At 38.8% G+C, this 15599-nt stretch overlaps 1 long non-coding RNA gene across 20 annotated transcripts in view; it reads left to right on the forward strand.

The window, feature by feature from the left end:
• Positions 1-15599, forward strand: part of SAMMSON (survival associated mitochondrial melanoma specific oncogenic non-coding RNA) — a 435002-nt gene that overhangs the window by 49735 nt on the left and 369668 nt on the right. The window lies entirely within an intron of this gene.

Raw genomic sequence — 15599 nt, forward strand, 5'->3', positions numbered from 1 at the left:
AGGCTACCCAGAGGAAATATGTCATGAGGAACAATTCATTTGCTTACTAAAATCTTAGAAAATTACTTACTGGCAAGATATGTGGATATGTACATAAATGCATATCACAATGATTAATGATACAGGCTTTGGAGTTAAAACTGGCTGCTTTCAAACCTTGCCATTGCCATTTATGAACCTTTGACCTTATACCCTTTAAGTCTTAAGAATATCTCTTTCTTTAGGTTGAGGTGAAGACTACAGGTAGAGATCTTGGTACCATGTCTGGTGTGTGGTAAATGGCCAAAGCCCATTAATGTTTATTATCATCATTATTGTTGTCACTAGCATCATCATCACCATCATCATCATCATTATCATTATAATTCTTTTAGAAATAATTCTCAAACAACATGACAGGAAATGAGGGATTTTTTGTTGCTGTTGCTGAATTATTAAGAAACAGTACGTTGGTCTTAATTTTTAAAGCTGGAAAAATTTCAGTCACTTTATAAGTCCCTGTGATCTCATAGAAATATATATTACTGGAATTGATGTGTGGAAAGAGCACAGTTTGTTTTTACCCCAGCTGAAAACGTGCAATGACATAATGTAACCCTTTAAGATAACAGAAGCCAGCTGCCCCATTCACATTTAAATATGAGTCACCTTCCAGGGAGACTTGCAAGATTCTATGTGCCAAGCTGGAAAAGTAAAAAATTGCCAGCAAGGAGGGAAAGAATAAATTCACAATTGGAAGGAGGTATTACAAGCTAAAGGCCCCACCTAGCCAATTCCCTCTCAGAGCAGAAAGTGGCATGCTAGTGGCCAGAGAGAAGAACTGCCCCACCGTGGCATTGTGATCTATATTACTGAAACACAGAGGCCTTGTCACATTTAGAAAATTCTTTCTACTCGATTAAAAATATTTTGCGTTCTGTGTAAATGGCACATTTGCTCAGGTACAAACACAGTCTGCTGCAATGAATTTCTGAAAAACGCAATATAGTTATTTATGAATTCCTCCATCTCACAACCCCACCCAGGACCTTGGCATTGGGTTGGCCAGCCACTTCCAATGTCTTCCAGTACAGCAGAGCAGCTCTCAGAAGAAAACCGAAGGCTATAGGGACAAGAAAAGACAGGCTTGAAATTTCAAATGATGTCTTTGTGAGTGTTTGCTGAGAACCTATCAGAAAGAAGAGACCTGTATGTGGTGCTTGGGACCAACATTTTAAAAATTAATTACATATGTTAATTGACTTGACACATAGGCAATTAGAAGAAGTTAAAGGTTAGTTTAAAGGAATGACAGACTGCTAATTAGGATTCCCCTCATGGTTGAATCAGATTTGCTATGGATCTGTCTTGGTCAACTTTCACCTGAATGATAATTCAGTGATCAATGATCAGTTGGTTGACTCGAAATCCAGAAGTCACTTTAATTTTGGCAGTTTGGAGAGGCGGAGGCATAGACTAATCCATGTGCCTGGAAGAAGTCATGCTCACCAGGCACAGCAGTGGGTGCTGTTTTCAAGAATAGAGGCAGACTGGCTGGGTGCAATGGCTCACACCTGTAATCGCAACACTTTGGGAGGCTGAGGCCAGCGGATCACTTGAGGTCAGGAGTTCAAGACCAGCCTGGCCAACATGACAAAACCCCATCTCTACTAAAAATACAAAAATTAGCCAGGCATGGTGGCACACACCTGTAATCCCAGCTACTTGGGAGGCAGAGGCAGGAGATTGCTTGAACCCAGGAGATGGAGGTTGGAGTGAGCCAAGATTGCACCACTGCCCTCCAGCCTGGGCCACAGAGTGATACTCCATCTCAAAAAAAAAAAAAAAAAAAAAAAAAAGAAAAAAAAAGAATACAGCAGATTGTTAGAGAAGGTAAAATGGGAAGTATAAAGGTGAACTTGAATTTGGCTTTTCAAGAAAATCTTTTGGAGGACAACTTGATAATATGAATCCTACACTTTGACTTCTAATTTTATTTCTACCAATTAAACAACATAGTTCAAGATGTACATAAGGATTTAACAGGGAAGATGTTCAGAGTAGCATTGTTTAATGAAAGATTGGAAATCATATATAAATATTTATTAGGTTGGTGCAAAAAGTAAGTGCGGTTTTTGCCATTCTAATGGCAAAAACCACAATTACTTTTTGCACCAACCTAATAGAATAGGGGATTGATAAATAAATTATAAACATCCATACAATGAAATATTTCTGTGCTGTTAAAAGGGTTGTTTAGCGTTATATTTATGGACACACGAAGATGGGATCTATTTATTGCTATGTGAAAATAAGGTGGTAGATCTGATTTTGGTTATGATTTTATATAACTAGCATCTTTTTGTACAATGTTATTTAGGTTAAAAAATTGTAGAGTGTCTCATTAGATCTCTTTCCATTTCTATTAACTTAATAAATTTATGTTGGTGGAGTTCTGACATTTAATTTCTTAGCTTTGTAAAAAGTAATATTTAATTTTATTAAAGAGAATTCAGGCTGGTGCAGTGGCTCATGCATTTAATCCCAGCACTTTGGAAGGCTAAGGCAGGAAAATCACTTGAACTCAGGAGTTCAAGACCAGGCTGGGCAACGTGGAGAGACTGTGTCTTTAGAAAAAAATTAAAAAGTAACCAGGCATGGTGGCATGTGCCTATAGTCCCAGCTACTCAAGAGGCTGAGGTGAGAGGATCATTTGAGCCCTAGAGTTTGAGGCTGCAGTGAGCTGTGATTGCACCACTGCATGCCAGCCTGGGCAATACAGCGAGGACCTGTCTCAAAAACAAATAAATAAATAATAAAAAAGAGAGAGAATTTAAAATATATAACCTATTTATTTTCTTAACTCTGTAACTACTTATTCACAAAAAAAGCAAAAATAAAGTATTACCCACAAGAATATTCCCACTTTGACAATGTCCCCAGAATAATCACAGTCTCTCACATACTCTATGTGGCCAGTCTAATATCAGTGTGACCCCACTGCAGTGTCAAAAAATATATTTTGCAGGAGTAAATGACGGAGGAGCACTCCCAATCTCCTTGAGCAAAAGCCACCTCATCTCTTCTCTCCCCTGTTACCTCAGCAGCTTCCTGCAATCATAGAAAAAAATGGGAGAGTAACACATTGTCCACTAGATATATGTGAAGAAGCACTTTATAATTTCAGCATTAAATTTTATTTGTACACTGCATGTATGCTACTAAAATAGTAGCAAAAATTGGTCAAATGTGAGATTTGGGGAATGCCATTCCACCTAACATTTGGTGGTGGTAAGTGGAATTCTGGCATTAATGTTATGTAACATATGCATATTTGCATGTATGTTTAAATCAAGGTTTCTCAGTCTTGGCATGATTGACATGTTGGGCTGAATAATTCTTCATTGTGAGGGGGTGTTCTGTGCATTGTAGGACGTGTAGCACCTGTGAACAACCAAAAATGCCTCCAGAAATTGCCAAATGTCACCTAGGAGTTAGAGGTTGGGAGAATGTAGGGACAAAATTGCCCTCATTTGAGAAGCACTGGCTTAGATTGATATATATGTATTCCAACGTTAATGCGTATTATTTCAGGGTGGCAAGAACGTGAATGATGTCCCCTTTTCTTTCTGCTTCTCTTGTTCTACTTTATACATCTTGACTTGTGTTTCTTGTATATTAAAGAAAAAAGTCAAAAGACAAAAAATGCGTAATAAGCCTATCAGTGCTCTGAAAAGCAGAGCATACAGTGCTGTCACTCATGGTCCTTGCAGTTGCATAGTGCTTTGGAATTTGCAGTTCCCTTCACATATGCTTATCATCCTTTTGGAGCATTCATATCCTGGGAAATAGGTGGATATGGATTATTACTTTTCTTCTTTACAGGGAGAAATGCTGAAGTCTAGATCAAAGTCATTGTAGTGGTTAAATAGCAGAAGTTGCACTAGAGCTGCAGCTTCTTGACTCTTGAATTACATTAACCACTGCTCACTGATAGGGAGCCTGTAGCCTTTTCCATGCATTACATGTAGGCATGGCTCTGAGCTGTGTTTGCCCTAGGGGCTTGTGTGCATATCACTGTGATCATGAAGACTTGTCAATGGGGCAATTGAACTAACACATAGAAAAGAGATCAGAAAGGCAAGGCATTCCCCTGTTAAAGATGAGAGCCACTAGTGGTGAGGTCTCAGATGGGTGACTCATTTCCTTGACTGAGCTCCCACATAGAGTCCCAAGCCATTCTGAGGTTTTCAACACACAAGGAGACTGACACGTGCTAATTTTGTAAGATACTGTCTGTGAAATATTTTATGCACTCAGTTTTTCTGTCCTGGATGCATATATATTTTGAGGAATTTTAATGGAATTAGTTCAGTTAATTCCCAGGGAAACAGACCCTTCCAGGTTTCCCATTATACTACATATCTGGGGGTCTTTCTTTTTTTCACTGGTGCATTTCCTATGGAACTATTAACACTGCTGGGAATTATGCATGTGCATTGACAGGTGGATATACCCACATGTTGGGAATTTAATTTCTCAGTCTATGTATGTCTTGGATAAGGTACAGTAATTATTATTATCCATTAATACTAGAATGCACAAAAATACTCTGAGAAGTAAATATTTAATATTTCACACTCATTGCCTTTTTTTTAAATTTACTGTGTGCATAACAAGCAAATTGTACACTTTGTCTTCCTGCAGTCTTAAAATTAAGCTCTTTTACTTTTGAATAACAACTGGTTGGCAAACACTTACCATTTAATTTTCTTACGTTGAGTATGAAGCATTCCAGCATATCTGCAAAGTAGTCAACATATAGATATAGGTGAGTGTAAGAAATCTTGCTTTAGATTTTAATTTTAGTTTTAATTTTAAGAGCATTAATATCTTGCCCCAGTGACTACACTTTTAATTTAACCTGCTGTACTCGCATTCTCACATTTCAAAACTGACAAGTGAATGGGGAGGGAGGGAAGGCTTTATGTAGTGTTGAACTTGGCATAACTCCTTTAAAAGCAGTAATACCCATCTCTGGATCTTGGAATGCACAGCAAGGAAGAGAGCCCAGCACATAATTTGGTTCTCCAAATAATTCCTGAACTAATCAAAGAAATCTGTACCTCATAACGCCTCCATTCCTCCTCTTGGATCCTGTGTCTGTTGACTTTGCATCCTCTCTTGTTCGGTCCTTGGTTTGACCTTCAAATCTGACCATTTGTCTTTAGGGTTGTGACATTCTTTTCTATCTGTGACTTACTCAAGTCTAGCAGGCTAAACTTGACCATGGTCACCATGTATAACATTAACCCCCAAAGTTAAAGGATGAGTTTCTATCATCCAAAATTCCTCTTAGCTTAGATTCAGCATTGCAAACTCTGTTCTGTCCAAGAGCCAGGCAGGCAATGTTGACTGGTGGAGCGGGCAGTGGGCAGGACAACATGGAGTGATGAGGACTGTGGTCAGCTAGAAAAAGTTCGGGACTAATCTCAACAGGGAAGTAGCTGCTTCATCCCTGCTCAATGTTGCTATTTAGAAATGTGTACCTAGACTTGCCAGATCTTTTTAATTTTTCAGGAGAAGTCAGAAATTTAGACTTCTGGCTGAAATATCTTGATTTTCAAATGTAGCATAAAATTTCTAATTTTTAAAAACACCATGCATATCAATTACAGAAATTTGAAATGCTATTTGATGATGTCAAGGAATTATTATTAAATTTTGGTGTGATCTTGATCTTGAAACTGTAGTTGTTTTTTTAAATGTCCTTATATTTTAGAAATATTAACTGCAATCTTAACAGATGACTGATGCAACATTTGAGATTTGCTTCAAAATGATCCAAGGGTTGGGGTGAAGAAGAGGATATAAATGAAACAAACAAGGCTGGCCAATAGGTTGATAATTATCAAAGCTGGATGATGGAGGAATATATACATATTTAAATTTGTATATGTTTGAAGTTTCCATAATAAAGAATTTTAAAAAACCATGGCCACAGGCCAGATTTGACTTCAAGCTACTAGAGTTGTCTCTGATCCATGAATTTGTCTATACACATCCCAATCTACTTATATTTTTAATCTGTACTATATTTGGTTGTAGTATTTTTAAAAGTTTATCATAAATGTACCACTCTAAGGCTATGAGAGCTGTCCCTTATTTCACAATTCGTGAACTTTTTTGAACAAGTGCATGTTCATCCCATTTACTTTGTACATTTTTAAACCTCCAATGATATTTCCCCTGAGCTTTCATCCTTCCGGAAGAATTTATTATTCTCTCCTTATATAAAAGTTCTCAAATTTATCGACATGCATTTCAGAGGCTTTCCGTTGAACTTATCTTATGTGACCCATTGTGTCTTTTCTAAGGCATGTGGAATTTTGCATAAATTCTAAATAATGTGTTGTTGTATGTTGGAAAAAGGAGAGATTAATTTCCCTTTCAATTATTGTCACCTTGTTACCTATTTCTCCTTCCTTTTCTTTCAGGATCTGAACCATCCTATTTATTCCTTCCTCTTTGGACTTTGAGCTCTTTGAGGACAATTGTAGTGTGCCATCTTAGTGCCTAGCCAATACCTACCTCATAAATAGCCTTTCATTTACTCAGAGATATTTATGAAGCCCCTTACTTCTTCCCACTCCTTCAACTCCACTCCTTTCTTGCCAAAAGTGTTGTCTCACTCTCTGAAAGAAGAGAGCAATATTTCAGTGATCCTTTGGGCAATTTCTGTTTTCTTTCCAGGATCACTGCAGACTGAGCCAGAGCCCCATTTATAGATTAATCTTGACACCTTTCTTTCTTTCCCATTCTTTTCCTTCTTGTCACACCTCAAAGTTAGAGACAAAGGGCTTCTTGGAATTCCTTTTGATTTTTACTAATCTCAAATTTGATAGCCATCACCATGTGATTGTCCATCTGGCCTTCCTTTGCTCCTTTATTCAACAAAGATTTACTGGGCACATATTATGTGTCAGTCACTATGTGTCTATTATCAAGGATCTCTTGGTAAACAAAACAGACAAAAAGTCTTTTCATAAATAAATGAAGAGGATGAGTAAGAGGATTTCAACAACAGAAGGAAAGACTTACGAGCTTCTTAAGAACTGTATCTGTTCATCAACCGTTCGGCTACCTTTCAGGTTTTCTAGTTTTGTTTTCTTTTTGTACATAGTTATTTAGAAACAACCTGTCCCCTTTTCCAATTTTCATGACCCATTTAATGTTTTACATATTGTTTCTCTCTCTCTCTCTCTCTCCCCCTCTCTTCACTAAAGCTTTTCTTGGAAATACACTATCGAGGTGGAAAGTGATTTAACAAAGTAAAGTTAAATAATATTAAAACTCATAGTGTATCTATTAAAATGTTTATATTTCACATCTAACACTTCTTATTACATGTTAAAATACAGTGGTATTTAAATTAACAAAAGATTCTTACTCATGCTACAAGATAAACAGCCCTAATCCAGATACTCTTTCCACTGTATTAGGCAGTGTTCAGTCCTTATCAGTTGCATATATTTTTCCTATGACAGGAGGCCATATTTTGATGCCAAAGTTAAGTAGTGCTATATTGAAAAAAAGCCTAATCTATATAAATGAACTAGTTTAAAAATATGACGGCATTTAGTCAACTAATCAGCTATGAAAATAGCTGCAACCAGAGAAAACATTTATCTGTAGGAAGTATCTAATCTATTTGTGTCCCAAAGAAGGCAGGCAGGAATGTATGGATGTGATAGTTAGCCAAAGAGACTGTGCAAAGAGAAAAAGAAATAGTTTCTTAATACTCCTACTAAATTACATTCAGAGCACTTCCTTTCTATTACTTTGTCACCACATGACCTTGCCCAATTTTAGTCAAGTCAGAATGCAAAATAAGTTTCGTGGATAATTTTGTTATTGGGGAAAGGGGGTTAAAAATGATATTCTTTAAATATGCCCTTCTTTTCTATCTTACCCCCTTCCCTCTCTACTTTTGAATGCGTATCTTCTTTTGAAAGTTACCAGATCTTCAAAGGGTACAGTATTTTTAATTCATTTTAAAAGAATGTTTCTATATACATTTTTTAAATTTTGGATTATTCTCGTGGGACTAACACAACACTGAAAATTTGGCATCTGCAAGCATAATTCAATGAAGAATTGTCTTTGCCTTGTTTGAGGACATTTAGTTTTGAAATAACAGCATTAGAATCTTTTGAAAATAACAGAACATGAACAGAAAATTATTTCCCTTGGAAAAAACTGTAGCTAATTTTTCCTTTGGCTGATTTGCTGCTGAAATCACACATTCGTATAAATGCCAAGCTATACATATGCATATACATATGTATATGGATGAGTGTGTGTGTGTGTGTGTGTGTGTAAAATTCCACTCTACAATCATGCTATAAATTGGAGAATTTGTCTTTTTAAACTAACACTCATTCATATACAGGTCAGGAAGTATTGCAGAATGTTGGTGTTGCTAACACATTTCATCCAAGATTTCAATTAATCAAGTTTTACAATTCCCCCATGCAGTGGGCAAACACTGTCATTTTCTCAGCTTTATTAATGGGAAATTTGAGTGGAAAATCCTGTTCCAGGTCAAACAAAATCCAGGTCCTCAGAGCCAAAGAGAAAGGGAAACTTGAGATATCTATTTGATATTTCAGTTGAAAACAAGTATTTGTTGAGTGAATGAAATATACCTATTAACAAAAAAGGTTTTGGGATCTGAATTAGTCAAAATATCTCTTCATTTTTTTCCTTTTGAGAAGAACGCCATCTAAACTGTGAATTTAACTGAACTTCATTCAGCCTCAAGAAAGTTGATGAGGAAGAACCAGATACACATACATAAATGTAGGCAGTTGAGGCTTGCATTGCACAGGGGTTGCAAGTGAGACAGAGGTAAACAGTTCTCACAATCCAGTTTGCTGAATGCAAAAGGATCCTGCCATCATGAATTAGAATGGGCACTGACCTCCTTAGCATAAAGCTGCATTTCTGCTTGACTTTACTTTGAACCTGCAGTTAAAAGTTTGTCTTAGTTTGGATGCGGTAAAAGTTCCAGCTGATTCAGAACAGATTTGGGTATTCCAGACAGAATCACCAGATCTAACAAAAAGGTCTTCTAAAAATTCAAAGGGGTTTCATGAAGCTATGGGGAAAATTTCAGGTTTATATACTTTGAAGTATAATGTATGTCCTGGACCCAGTTCTAGTCTCAGTCCATAAAAACCCTGTGCTGGCTTTGTAGCCACAGTACTGAGGAGAAGTAAGAATTTTGTTTAGATGGATGTTGGGCAATTGATACCATTCTCATTTAACTTGCTGATAATTGCAGTTATAAAATGGGTCAGCCCCAGCAACCATTCTTGTCCAAAGTTCTTTTATAATTACATTGTCTTGTTTGTTCCTCTATAATAGGAGGCCTGCAATTGATCACTTGCTACTTACCAGTGACTGTATATACCATCATATAAATCTCAAAATAGATAGGTTCTATTCTAATTTTACAGTTTAACAAATCAAGTCAGAGAGATTAAATAATTGACTAAGGACACACAGCTACCATGAAGTGGAATTCAGATTTGTATCTAGTTTGTAGGATCCCAAGCCCTAAGCCTATAGGAACTATCACTACTCTTGTCAGCGGGAAGGTATTAATATACCCGTTTTATAGGTTGAGGAAATCAGGGAGGCTAGTTGACCTGTTTAAGTTCATAAGAAGTTAGTTCCAGAGCCTGGGCTATATCTGGTCTCTATTTTTTCTAACAAGGAGCTCGTTCTACCAGACCCCAGACTTGTAGGATGATAGAAGTATGTGCTGGCTAGAAGAGCTTTATATGTATTATTTGTAAAGTGACATGTTTATTGTAAAATAAATAATAATTCAACCTAAATCAATAGAAATTTAATTTTAAATCAGAGGACGAGAACATTAGGTAAGCATTTTAGATAGAGATCATAAATTCAAAATTTAGTTCCTGTAGTAGCCAGGGTTATTCAGATAAAAAGAACCAATGGGATATATAGATATATAGAAGGAGATTGATATGAGAGATTGGCTTACACAATTATGGGAGTTGAGAATTCCCATGATCTGCCATCTGCAAGATGAAGGCCCAGGAAAGCTGATAGTGTAGTTCTAGCCCAATCCCCAAAGACAGAGAACCAGGGGGAACTAATCATGTAAGTCCCAATCTGAGTTCAAACACCTGAAAGTCAGGAGCACTGGTGTTTGGAAGTGGGAGAAGATAAATATAGTGGCTTGAAAAGAGAGAGCAAATTTATCCTTTTGTTCTATTCAGGCCCTCAGTGGATTGGATGAGTCTGTCCACATTGGTGAGGACAGTCTGATTCAAATGCTAATCTCATCTGGAAACACACTCACAGACACACCAGAAATAATATTTTACCAGCTATCTGAGCATCCCTTAGCCCAGTCAACTTGACACATAAAATTAACCCCCCCAGTTGGCAAGTTAAATTGGCTATGGGGGACTTTCTAGCTGTTTTAGTGAATGACACCAGCATTTATTCATTTGTCTTACAAATATTTAGAATCATGTACTAAATGTTCACTGTTAAGGGTAATAATAAAAAGTTGAAGAAGACAGACTGTCTTGAAGATCCTGAGTGTTATTGGTGATAAAGATCTGATATACAGGAATCATGGATAACAAAAATCTATGAAGTGCTGTAGAATGTATGAAAAAAGAAAGACCTTTGTCAGTTGATGTTAGTGAAGGACTCTTCAGGGAGATTGTTGATCTTGAGCTATGTCTTAAAGGAAGAAGAAAATTGGGATTTGTTGAGAATTAGATGCAGGAGAATCACTCTGTTAGTGCAAGACTTACTTATTGCTGGAATATTGAGTGCCCACTTCATGCCAGGCACTGTGCTAGTTGCTGGGGACGTGGCTATGACAAGGACAGAATACATTCCCTTATGGAGTGTTTGGCCTAGAGGGAAACCAACAGTTAAACAAGGAATTATTATAAAGTCTGTGCTGTGAGAGCTTGGAGAAGGGGAACTTGACCAGCAGGAGAGTCTGGGAGGCAAAACCTCCCAGGGGAAGTGCTATTTTCTCTAATAAATATGAAAAAGTCAAAAGATGCACTGACTATGGTCATAGGCACTATAATTCATATACAATAACTTTTAGTCAGGAACCAATTTTTATTTTCCTCTGCCATTCCACCATTTCTGAGCAAACTTTTCTGCTATCTATTGATAGATACTTAGGCTTCAAATTAATTTGAAGGTTATCCTGGGGAAAATATTATGATGGCTTATTATTTCCATCACCTCCTATTTGCTGTCACAACTTGGGGGGAGATGCTACTGGCATCTGGTAGGCAGAGGCCAGGGATGCTGTTAAACATCCTACAATGCACAGGACAGTCCCCACAGCAAAGAATGATCTGGCCCAACATGTCAATAGTGCTTCAGTACCCTGATCTAGACATAGAAAAACTTGGACTGAGTTTGGGAATCTGAGCAGTCCATATTAGCAAAGCTTAGAATATGTACATATGAAAGGGAATAATGGGTTAGACAGGCCATACTGTAGAGGGTCATGGATGTAGGTCAGTGGAAGTCTGTACTTAAGTAGTGGAGAAAAGATGAGAGGAAGAGGGAGTGAGTGGGAGTGGAAAATTATCTGGATATTTTAGATTGGAAGTCGTGAGAGCTTAAACTGGAGACGATGCCAATGAAAATGGAGGAAAAAGGATGTATGCCAAGATGCAGACATCCATGCATAAAAGGATGTATATCCTGACTTCAGGAGGAGAGGGAAGGCCATTCCAAAGGTGGTAGCTTTGGCAGTGGTGCTGCCATTCATGAGTAATAGACAAGGCAGGAAGAGGGATTTGGGGGAGAAAAATGAATTTGGGTTTGCGTGTGTTGTGGTTGAGATACCGACAGGACCTCCAGTTGGGACTGCCTAGCAGGCGAATGCAACTGTGAGTCAGGAGCTCAGAGCCATGACCAAGTCTAGGGACCATGCTAACATCTTTGTTCTAAGCCAGAGGTCCTAAATTGGCAACCTGTGGGCCCCATCTGGACTACAGATGTGTTTTGTTTGGCCTGCGTAATGTTTAAAAAATCTTTAAGATTTGTAACAACATACACATCGAGAGACTGCATATAAAAACCCATCTTTTCTGCTTGTCTTGAAATATCAGAGCATCTGGCAATTCTGGGTTCTCGTTTCTGCATGGGCAAAGCCTGAGCTGAGGCTTGGCTGCCCACTTTCCACAGGGCATGATGTCTCCAGTTTGCCTCAATCCCCACCATGCCCTGTTAAATGTCACCTGGCCAGCCCACCTCCCAAGTTTACTTTACCTGCCTAAAATTTGCGTTTGCAACGCCTGGGTTAGGTTATGACTGTATCAGATGCTAGCTCCCTCCGCATCTACCCACGGCTACATTCATTCCCCTTGTGTCTCCTCAAGTGTGCCTTATGCCTTCAGCATCTCTGGTTACCCTCTCAGGGTTTTCTTTTGCTGTAGATATGCACAGGTCTCTTGTCACTTGCAACAGCTTCACTTGATTCTGCCATCTCCCAAGTTCTTTTTTCCTTTGACTCATTCATTTTGTTGAATGAATAAATGATTCTATGTGTAAACAAACCAGCTGCTTACACTTATGTCTTTGGAACCCCCAGACTCCCATTCGTTCTCTGCAGTATTTTTGATCCCTGGCCTTAGTCTTCACCATTCTACAGGCAAACCCTCCACAGTGATCATCCAGCAGCCAAGTGCGTTGGTTTTTTCTTCTCTCTAAGCACATTGCAACCCCATAGTCTGTGTGCCACTGTTTCCTCTGCCCATGGTGCTGAGACACCCGCATGGCCCGTTTCCCCACTTCATTCATGCCCATACAAATAATAATATCGGCATGTTAAGGAGGCCTCTCCTGACCCCACTGTCTAAGAAGGCCCCTCTCCCCATGGCATGCTCTTTCTCCTTGCCCTGTTTTATTTTCTTCACAACATCTGCCACCACCTGACATTATATTAAGTAGAACCACATGAGAATGCACATTTTGTAGGTCAAAACCGGACAAATACTGGCAATTTCTTGTGGTTTGATTTAACATATTAATTTGCTCATTTTCTATCCTCTCCTCCTTAAAATGTAAGCTCATTGAGGACAGACTCTGGTTTGCTCACTGTTCTATCCTCAGGCCCCAGAACAGTAGCAGGCACATAGTGGATGCTCAGTACATATTTGTCAGACACAAACATTTTGAGATGCTCTTCATGATCTTTCTGTAGCAGTCACCAATAACCATAATCTCTTTGATATTGCACTGCTCTTCTGTCATTGTGACTTTTATCCTCCCTCTAATGTCTCCTCTCTGCCCATTCTCTGGCTTCTCACATCACTCCTTTCCAAAGGGGAATGTCCCAAAACGTTCAGGCCTGGCTGGCTGTTTCGCTCTGCCATTTCTTGCCTCCTCTGAAAGTCAGTCGTCCTCATGTGTTCATCTCTGAGTTTGGTGTAAATGACTTCCACATCTGTACCTGCAGCCGTGAGCTCAGTCCAAAGTGAGCAGTTAGTATTGGCATCAGTTGCATATTGGACATTCTATTTTGGGTTGCCCATATCTTCAGAAATACAGTATTCCAAAAATTTACATCTTCCTTTATTTTTGAAAATGTTGACTTCATCACCTGGTGTCCCTTCTGCCCTTCACTACAAAACTGAAGCACTTGGGAAGTTCTTTGTCTCCTGCTTTGTCTGCAGGGACCCTCTTCCTTCTGTCACCAGCCCCCCCCACCCCCGCCGCATTGACTTTCCTTGAAATGCTTCTCACATTGGTCCCTTTCTTTTCTTTCTCTTGACAAATATCTTGATTAATGCTAGAGCCTTTTATCTCACTGCTTCGTACCTTTTCCCTCAACCCTGCACATTGAGAACAGATTAACTTTTGTATAATATTTGAATAGGTTCATTATTCTACACCAAATATATCTTTAGACCCACCTGCAACTTTGTGAATATTTTGGTCTTTTTCCAGCCTGCTTTTCAAATCCCATTTCCTGTGATGCCTTCTGAACCGCTTAGCTCTCCAACCCCATTGGATTCCTTGCTCTTGCTTGAAGATGCAGCACATATTCCCAGTGGCAGCAGCCCTAGGTGTTCTGGGAGGCTAGCCCTTCTTGAGATCCCCATCAGCTTCTCTTCTTTTAGGTAGGATCCGTGTGCCTCCTCTGCAAACATAGCTGCAAAGAATTACATCTTTGAGCAGCCCTTCCCCCGCAAACAGATTTTCATCTGAAGTCCCTCCTACAGAGAAATTCTAGAGCTGCCACTGCATATCCCTGTCTCCATCTTTGCTGACTTTGTTTCCTTCCCCCAGAAACTCCTTTCTGTGAATCAAATCCTTATCACAGGAGACAGTACAGGAGAGTGGTTCAGAGCATGAGTTATGGTGTCCAGGTAACTGGAGCTTGAGTCTTAACCTTTTACACTCCCTTGCTGGGTTACCCATCAGCAAAATTCAGCTGTTTAATGAAGGCAATATTTGTAAAGGGCTTAGCACAGTGCCTGGCATATCTTAAGTATCATTAGCATCAGCATCATCATTCTTCATCATAATTTAAGGGCCACTGTCTACAGTAAATCTTTTCCTACAAGGTCAGTCCTCAGATCTCACCTCCTAATTCCTATTGCACTTCTTGTCTGGGCTATTCAGAATACATCCACTTTACATTTCATGATTATATGACTAGGTTGTAAGCTCTCAGAGGGCTGGAACCATGTCTTACCCTTCTGTGGGTCCAGTTCTAAGTGCCAGATCTATACATGGCTTTCCACAAATATCTGTGGGATAAAAAATTATTTGAGACTGTGAATGAAGCACAAAGCTGTATTAAAACAGAGTTCCAGTGCCTTGTCATTTAATCAGAAGGAAAATGCCCTGTGTTTCTGTCTATTGTGCTGTCTTAAAATAGGAATAATGAAATATACCAAGTACGTACTAATTTGGCAGTCATTCTCAGAAATCTGGGACTTTACACTTTAATTAAGCACTTGTAGTTAAGCGTTTGGCCAGAAGATGGTGCAGTGTTCAAGGGATCCTTCTCTCTCAAAGTCAAAACTGATTTTCAAGGAATAATATTGCAATCCGACCAAGTCTATAAAGAAATGGGAGAAAGTGATGCCAGTTCAGCTTTGACACCATCCTAGGGCTTAGCAAGTGTCATGCTTTCATGTAGTTTCTTCCTTCCTACTGCCTAGCATAATGAGCTGGAGGACTCTTCTAATTAGCTAAATATTATTGTACATCAGAGTGGGGCCATGCTTCCTGTACATTCTTATTTGGGTTTTGCCAGCCAAGGGAAGAAAGCTGTTAGAGGCAGGAGCAGATGTAAGGAAGGCACAAAACATGCCAAGAAGTCATGGCGCGTCTTTGCTATTGGATGAGTCATTTTACTTCTCATGTTTTTATTCTGATATTAGTAGGAATTCTTCAAGTCAATATGTCTTACTGGAAAAATCTTTTGTGTGTGGTGTGTGTATGCATGGCGTGTGTACAGTGTGTATGTCAAAGTTTTCTCTACCCCTGAAAAAGTTATATAAATAGGATTTGATTGCTAAAAT

This window comes from Homo sapiens, chromosome 3 (genome assembly GCF_000001405.40).
Source record: "Homo sapiens chromosome 3, GRCh38.p14 Primary Assembly".
NCBI lineage: Eukaryota > Metazoa > Chordata > Mammalia > Primates > Hominidae > Homo > Homo sapiens.